The sequence below is a fragment of the Homo sapiens genome, chromosome 6 (genome assembly GCF_000001405.40).
Source record: "Homo sapiens chromosome 6, GRCh38.p14 Primary Assembly".
Taxonomy (NCBI): Eukaryota; Metazoa; Chordata; class Mammalia; order Primates; family Hominidae; genus Homo; species Homo sapiens.
The window spans coordinates 142,914,127-142,923,382 of NC_000006.12; the positions used below are offsets into that span (position 1 = coordinate 142,914,127).

A 9,256-nucleotide genomic window follows, 5' to 3' on the forward strand; every position below is an offset into this window, starting at 1 on the left:
GGGCAAGCAACTGACCCTTCTTGGTGCCCCCATTTTCTCACATGTCAGCCACAGTTATCATGTGCCATCAAATTTAAGTGGTCTACCAATTCTAAGACATAAGCTTTTTTTTCATATTTTAACATTTTTGAAATCAGAATGTGTCTTACTATGGATGGCATCTTTCAAAAAAAATTGGAATCTTTGTTTTCCTTTCTTAGAGGTACATCAAATGCCATCTTACAACCGATGATACCTTAGAGTCTATGAAATTTGGAGCCTACTTTATAAAGTATCGATAAAGATTAAATTAGTTAATTTAGGTCAAGTATTTAGAATAGCGGTTGGTCTTGAGTAAGCTGCTCAGTAATTATTAGTCACTATTAAATTTATGACTCTGAAAATGGGCAGAGTCATAACAGACAATCAACACATTTTTACTCATAAACTGTGTGTTAAAATGATGGCTGATGCAGAAGTGTTGCAGGGAGAGGTTAAATGACTATTCAAAACCTGATGTATCCCCAGCCCTTGGTGCATAGTAGTTGGTACATAATAAATAATTGTTAACTAAATCAATTGAATGCACAACCCAGCCTTACTCATGCCAAAAGTCTCTTCATCAAACATAAATATCTAATATTCTTTCCATACAAAGGGAAACCAGCAAGAACATGGTTCTTTTATGCTAAGTGACAAAGAGCAGATTCCTACTTTTTGAAGGCTTTGAATATTTTTCCAGATGAAGACTTCATGCAGGTTTTCTTCTCCGGTAATGCCCTTTCTACCTCAACTTTCCACAAATTTAAATCCTGAGCCCCTTCTTTTAAGGCCCAATTCAAATTTCATCTCCTCTAAGAACTGTTTTTCCCCACTATTTCTCCCCCATTTAATCTTCTTTCTATTCCTACTCCTTACATTTACCTCAGCTACCATTAAACACTTAATTTGAACCTCACTGGACACAATAATATTAAAATATTGTGTAAGAATGGGAACTGGGTCATGATTGTCACTGCTTCCCCTGGAGAGCCTTACGCAAGAGGGAAATCTGCTTGAATCCTCTTGTTATGTGTGGAATTGTGGCCCCCCAAAAAGAAACATTGAAGTTCTAACTTCCATACCTCAGAATGCAGCCTTGTTTGGAAATAAGGTCCTTGCAGATGTAATTAGTTAGGATGACATCACACTGTAGTAGGGTGGGCCCCTTATCCAACATGACAGAAATGGCGAACACTACATGAAGACTGAGGCAGAGACTACAGTAATGAGGAGCCCAGGAACAACTAGGATTGCAAACCATGGCCAGAGGCTGGGAGAGAGGCACAGAACAGATTTCCCCTCACAGCCCTCAGAAGAGCTAACCCTGCTGACACCTTGGCTTCACACTTGCAGCCTCCAGAACTGTGAGACAATAGATGTCTTTTGTTTTCAGCCACCCAGCATGTGGGACTTTATCACAGCAGCCCTGGCAAAATCTCTATTGCACCTCTCCTCACATAGATGCTATGACACTGGACTCTCTTTTATTATGGACCTCTAGCCAGCCTTTCTTAATCTTGGTGGCATCACTCCCTTGAATCAGGCCTGTAAAAGTTAGGGTTTCTCCAGAGTTAGCCCCACACTCTCTTTTCGTCTCTGTTCTCTTTACACCCTCTCATCCACTACAACTCAGACACCATCTATACATTAAGGACACCCACTTCCATCTCCAGACCACCCCTTCCTCCAGACTCCTATGATCAACTGACTACTTGGCATCTCCATTTAGATAATTCAAAGCCGCTTTAAACTCAACAAATCCAAAAACAAAAGTCACCACTTTCTTAAACCTGGCTTTCCCCTTAGTGAGCCCCATCCCAATAAATTGTGCCTCTGCCCATTCAGGCATGCAGACCACACACTTAGGACTCATTCTAGGCTACGTCCTCTCCTTCACTCTCTACAGGTACTATCAAGCCCTATCTATTTCTCCTCCTGGAAATCTCTCAAATCTCACCAATCTTTCTCTGGTCTCCACCTCTACCTCTTTAATTCACTGTAGTGGATTAGTCTAGTGTAGTCATCTACTCCCTGGTTTACTGCAGTAATCTCTTGACTAGTTCTAGATCCAATCTTGCCACCCTCCAATTTGTTCACCATGCAAAGCTCAACTACATAGTCCAAGTAAATTTCAAAATGCAAATCTAATCCTTTCATCCCCATGTCTGAACAACTTCTATGGGTTTCCATTCAAGTTGGGATGAAGACCAAAATCCTAAACTGAGTTTATAAGACCCTGTGTGGACCAAGCCCTGTGCAGCTCCCTTGTTCTTGGTGCTCCAGCCACAGCAGTGTTCCTTTACGCCTTTGATTAGAACCATGATCCCACTGATCACAGGTCCTGTGCCCTAGCTGTTCCCTCCACCTGGAGAATCCACCAACCCCTTCACTTATTTAATGCTCCCCATTAGTCAATTTGGGCTCAAGACATCCGTTTCTCAGAAAAATCTTTCCCTGACTTCATCAAAGAGATGAAGCTCTCCTGTTCTCCTCTCTCCTGGCACCTTAAAAGCATAATTTATAATTATAAGAGTAGGAAAGAAGTTATCAACTAATTTATAATTCTACAGCTGTATGATTGTCAGATTAATATGGATTAGGGTCCTCCAATGAGGACTGAAACTCTTTGTTCCTGCTGTATCCCCAGCTCTCAGATCAGCATCCAGCACCTAACAGCTACTCAATAAGTATTTGTTAAATAATCAACAGTAAGCAAATATCCTTTACATATTGAAAGAAACTACTGTTTTAATTGTATACCATATTATGATGGAAATTATTTCTCTAGAAAGATACATACAGTATTTAATTTTCCTAAGGCTTCTACTGTAGCATAATGGACATACTATAAATGTGACAGGCTGGTTTACTGTATGTTAACTATATTTTAAATGCACTTCTTCTAATATTGTACTGTTAATAATTATGCTGCCATAAGCAATTATTAACTTATGTCACTCATCCAAAATTTCAAAGGTGATTAGTTGATAACTTCTTTGCTACTCTTATTCCAATAGTCCAAAAACAAGTAAATAAAATTTTACTAACAGTTTCGTATGTGATGTACTGTTGGTTTTATCACTAATTCTCTCTTCTCCAGGATCATCAACCTACTTGATATGAAAAACAGAATACATGAATAATGAAAACAAAGGTTATATCACTCCAACCCTATTAAACAATTTTCCTCAAAATTTTCTGAGTGCAGATCTTGGTACAGCTCTGCATAGGGACAGTGACAGCCACCGCAGCAGAAGCAACAGGTATGAATGACATCCACGTGACACTACATGCGCTGCAAGTGGCAACAATTCTGAGTGCATGTGGATTCCAAATAACAAATTTTATTCTCATTAACAGTGATGATAAAAAATATAACACATATTTCTAAATGATGGGAAAACATTAGTATTTCCTAACTTATTTCATTAAATAAGAATCTTATAAACAACTTCCAATCACACATGTACTCAACTACCACCAACCTTGATACAGAGGAGTCCAAAGTAAAGACAGCAAAGCTAATCCATATCCCAAATAATCATATCTGAGTATTAGACACAGAAATTCTGCTCTTATCAGATAAAGAAAGTAGCTTCACACACCTTCTCAAAATCATAATATGCTTCTGTAATTTTTTTTTTTTGAGATAGAGTCTTGCTCTGTTGCCCAGGCTACAGCGCAGTGGAGCAACCTTGGCTCACTGCAAGCTCCGCCTCCTGGGTTCAAGCAGTTCTCCTGCTTCAGCCTCTCGAGTAGCTGGGATTACAGGCATGCACCACCACGCCTGGCTGATTTTTGCATTTTTAGTAGACAGGTTTTGCCATGTTGGCCAGGCTGGTTTCAAACTTCTGACCTCAAGCAATCCACCCACCTTGGCCTCCCAAAGTGCTGGGATTATAGACGTGAGCCATCATGCCCGGAGCGTCTGTAATTTTAACAAGAACAATGTGAGCCATGAAATGAAACTACAACAGTCTCTCTACTTCAGTCTCAATACCTTTTTCCTTAAACCCTTTCCTCTTTGCCTCCCTATTTATTTTTCCCTATTTATTTTATTTACTTTTATTTATTTATCAATAGAGACCGGGTTTCGCCATTTTGGCCAGGCTGGTCTCAAAGTCCTGACCTCAGGTGATCCGCCTGCCTCGGCCTCCCAAAGTGCTGAGATTAAAGGCCTGAGCCATCGCTCACAGCCCTATTTATTTTTTTCTATTAAACGAACTCAAGAGTTAAAATTACAACAGCACCCAGAGAGTTGCCACGAATGTGGATGCGGCATTCTTCTAGCTGCATCCTCCTGGGTCTTCCACCCTAAAGCTTTAACAGACCGCGTGCCTCCTAACGACAGCATCTGGATGTTCTGCCCTGGCTTTGCGACGCTGCAGGCCTGTGGCTGTTTCAGAATTGTCTCCCCAAGATTCATGCCCATGAGATCATGCCAAGCTGACCTCTTCAGAACGTGATACCCTGAAGCACAGCTGTAAAAATAGAGCACTCCATAACAACTTCTTATTCACCAATAAAAAACATAATGTTCTTTCACTTTTAGGGAATTAACATGTTCATGTAATTTTTTGAAGACAAGGTGAAATAAATGAAGAAAAGAGCCTTAAGTTATATAAATGTATTTTCTCATGACAAAACAATGTAAAAACAAACACAGGTTCCAGTAATTTAGAAAAAGTGATGTCATAAAAGCCATGTAACCAAGTCTGAAGTCTCAAATCATTCCCACTATAATTTTTTAAATATTAACACCTGTAGTTAACACATTCATGTTTCTTTATAATACATAATTCCCTACCTATTATTTTACTTTTAAGTCATGCAATTTAGATTGTTTTATTCTTAAAATACATTCCTCTGCTTTGATTTTTATGTCTTTATTAACTTCAAGTTACCCATCTGTCCATTTCTCTACCAAATTTAATGACATTTTCATTTACTCACACTGGCTTTCTTAATTCCAGTATATTTTCAGTGTGTTCTTATTTTACAGTTACAAAAACACAAGCAGAAAGAAGCCTCAAAAATTATACAGACCTTTGAGGCAAGTCACCTCAACTTTCTTTTTTAATGAAACAGATTGAAATGAAAGTAAAATTAGAAAACAATACTGTTAAATGCCCTTTATGTGAAATATACAAAATATTCTCTGCTCTCTTCCTGATAGTTGTTTTCTTCGCCAGTTTCAGAGCTTTATAGTTTAATATTGACTCATAATTGTGCTTTAAAAATTAAAAAGCAAATCCTATTATATTCTTATTGGATAGGTAAGGAATGTATTTTACCAGCTGCAGCTCACATCAGGAACCGTCTATAAATGTCTTCTATGCAAATCTAGATCCACAGTAACAGGCTCAAATGCAAGCCATTTTTTTCAGAATCACATTTCTTTTAAGGAAACACATGTCACAATGCAGTTTATAATATGGGTAAGTTTATCATTATTCTACTCAAAGACCCACTTTTATAATTATTCTCTTACTTGCCTTCTACAAATAAAGTCCATGTTCAAACCTATTAAGCTTTGGGAAATAAGATGTAATATACATTATCTATGCAAAAATAATAAAATGGCATTTTAAAATACTGATAAGTTTATTGAGTTAAAAATTGATACCCTGACATGGATCTTACTCTGTTCCTTTCACATTTAGTGTGCTATTCTCTAGTAATGTTAATAAGTTGTAAATAAATGTAAGCAAACTCTACATTGGTCACTGATGTGAAAGAGCAAAGAATTAGTCCTCAAAGGAGGCAGAAATGTTAACCTATTCAAAGGATGTAACAACAGAAGTTGAAAAACACTTTGTTCTGTATAAAAACAGAGCTTCCTAAGTATATTTTTATGTCATTAGACATAAACTCTTTAAAAGTATTTCTACAGTAGGAAAGTTGGTTCTATCAAATTTAATTATTCTGTTCACTGTAAAGACACAATAGTTGGATCTTTCTATAAGCCTAACAAACATTTCCTCTACCACTCATTTTATCTCCAAAGGTAAGAATTACAGTCCCATTTTGTGTAACTGCTACATGAGGTCACAGAGTTATAGCTAAAAAGAAAGTCACAAATGTAAGGATAATATCCCTTCTATCATATTCTGCTACTTATTTGTCACTCAATTATCTTTGTATCTCCGAAGTCCTGGCTTCCAAAGGTTCGGCATGCAGAGCTGACCTTGGTCTAGTCCTCCGTCACATGTGAGTGGCTCACGGCTTCACTTTGAGCCCTACCCATGGTGTCCACTCTTGTACTATCCAGATCACAGGTATGTATTAAAGACCTCCTCTCTGACAACCAAGACCCCATGATTCTTATTGGATAGCAGGAGGGAGAACTCATTTGGAAATTCCCTAATTTCCAGGAAATCAATTCCTGAATACATCCTGTGCTTCAAGAATTTAGAAACTGGGTTATCACATAGGTAACAGAAGAATAAACTTCTCTGAAGAAAATAAAAGGGATGAGGTACCTACCACCAACAAGGAGATAAAAAATTTTATACTCAGATTGACTAGTCTGGATTAAAAATTTATTAATCCAGCTGGGCATGGTAGCTCACGCCTGTAATCCTAGCACTTTGGGAAGCTGAGGCAGGAGGATCACTTGAGCCCAGGAGTTCCAGATCAGCCTAAGCAACATAGGGAGAACCCATTTCTACAAAAAATTTAAAAAATTAGCTGGGAATCGGAGCACATGCCTGTAGTCCCAGCTACTTGGGAGACTGAGGTAGGAGGATCCTGTGAGCCCAGGAGGTAGAGGCTGTAGTGAGCTATTATCATGCCACTGCAATCCACAGTGAGTGACAGAGGGAGATCCTGTCTCAATATACATATATAAATCCATCTCTTTTCCCCAATTTATTCATTCATTCACCCATTCATTCAGCAAAAGTATACAGAGCTACAGTAAGGAAGCAGGTCATGAAAAAGGAAAGTCTGGGATTTGAATTAGGACTGCCGGAGCTTAAATGCAAGCTCCAAAACATACTAGCAGTGTGACAAGATATTTAACTTCTCTGCCCTTCCAATGTTTTCATCTATAAAATAAGAAGACAAACAGCCCTGCCTCAAAAAAATAAAAAGTTTAAAATATGAGGATAGGCTGCGCAAGGTGGCTCATGCCTGCAATCCCAGCACTTTGGGAGGCAGGCAGATTGCTTGAGGCCAGGAGTTCGAGACCAGCCTGGCCAACATGGCGAAACCTGTCTCTATTAAATATACAAAAATTAGCCAGGCGTGGTGGCACACGCCCGTAATCCCAGCTACTGGGGAGGCTGAGGCACGAGAATCGCTTGAACCCAGGAGGCAGAGGTTGCAGTGAGCCGAGATTGTGCCACTGCACTCCAGCCTTGGTCATACAATGAGACTCTTCCTCAAAAGAAAAGAGGATAACACATGTAAAAGGCCTAGAAAAGTGTCTGATGTTCAGTTTTTTTTAATTATCATTATGAACTAAAAATCCCATCAGATTCTGAAGTTACAGTGATAAAATAAGGCTCTATTGCCCTATCCCTACTGAGGATTACAATCTAAGTCAGGCCATGTATTAATCTCAAACCAGTAGTTAATCCTAATCTGAAATAACTAGGGAGAAAAAGGATTGTCAAACTTCTTTTGGAAATCTAGGACTTAATCCTCCTTTAGTCAGAAACTTTGGGATCTAATTTAAATGCCTTCTCCACACTTCCAAAAAATCAAAGCTTAAATAGTCAATCACCCTAAATAGCAAATGACAGATCAAACTACATGCTGGCAATTTCCTAATTATTAATCACTTTTCAGTTCTTATCTTACTTTAACTCTCCATAGCATATGGTATTGATGCTTAAAGTCTCTTTGGGGAAACTCAACTTCGTTGGCGTCTAAGACGTGACCCTTTCTTCATTTCCCTCCTCTCTGTCTAGTCCACATCCTCAGGATCTGGCCTCATCTTACATCTCTATCCCATTTTTCACAATCTCCCACTTGTCCTTTAAACTTCAGCCATACTAAGCTCTTTAAAATTCCCCAAACTCGCTATGCATTCTCAAACTCTCACCAAGCTGCTCTCAGTGTCTATTGATCCTTCCAAAGGCAGCTGAGGGAATGTTCCATTTCACCTCTTCTGCAAGGAGGGTTTAGGGCTCCCTCCAGGCCCTTCTTTTCACCCTCTGCTTCCCCCTACTTTTGCCCTTATTCCAATATCCTAATTCTTGAATTGCAAGTCAGTTCCTTCACTTGACTATGATGTCTTTGGGGATAGCAACACAAGCTCTCAATTCGCATTTAATAAATATAAATAACCACATAAGTATACTTCTAAAATTTTAAAATAGTAAGATCCAGAGTGGCCTGAACTTCATTTATTGAGTGCTTACTACAGGCCAGGTTCTTTACATATATTAGTACACTTAAGCCTCATAAGGTCTGTTTTAAGAGGTATCCTGGTTTTACAGGTGAGCAAACTGGAGGCTAAGGGGATAAACGTAACTTGCCAAAAGTCATACAACTAGAAAGTAACTGAGACAGTACTCAAACCCAGGCAGGCCAGCTCTGAAACCCACAGTTCTGGTCCCACTCTATACTGACTGCCTCTTTTCCAGTCGTAAGTCTGATTAAGCAACAGAACTGGCTCTCAATAAGAATTATGACATGTACATCCCTAGAGAGCCTCAAAAACAGATTTTTTTAAAAGACTGTCTTGTCCCCTCCTATTATTTTGCAGGTATGAGCATGTAAATACATAGTATTTATATGAACATGTATTCATGTAAACACATAGTACTCTCCAGAAAACAAACATGTTTTAATATAAATCCTGCCCAACATCTAACAAACTATTATCAATAAATCAGTAATTAGTAAATAATTATACCACTAATAAGAGATAAATATTTCATAGTTAAATATTTAGGCCAGGCGCGGTGGCTCATGCCTGGTAATCCCAGCACTTTGGGAGGCCAAGGCGGGTGGATCACGAGGTCAGGAGTTCAAGACCAGCCTGGCCAAGATGGTGAAACTCTGTCTCTACTAAAAATACAAAAATTAGCCAGGCATGGTGTGGGAGCCTGTAATCCCAGCTACTCGGGAGGCTGAGGTAGGGAATTGCTTGAATCCGGGAGGCGGAGGTTGCAGTGAGCTGAGATCGTGCCACTGTACTCCAGCCTGGGCAACAGAGCAAGACTCCGTCTCAAAAAAAAAAAAATCATAGTTAAATATTTAATAGTGAACAATAAGATAAGCA

The 9,256-nt window shown here is 38.9% G+C and overlaps 1 protein-coding gene across 8 annotated transcripts in view; it reads right to left on the reverse strand.

The window, feature by feature from the left end:
* The window catches only part of HIVEP2 (HIVEP zinc finger 2), a 194,265-nt gene that overhangs the window by 162,658 nt on the left and 22,351 nt on the right, over window positions 1–9,256 (reverse strand). The window contains exon 2 of one of the 8 annotated variants that reach the window (XM_047418714.1): window positions 3,070–3,134. The exons of the other annotated variants lie outside the window; for them this stretch is intronic. The gene's annotated coding sequence lies outside the window, so the exon portion shown is untranslated. The remainder of the gene's footprint in view (window positions 1–3,069; window positions 3,135–9,256) is intronic. 8 annotated transcript variants of the gene reach the window in all.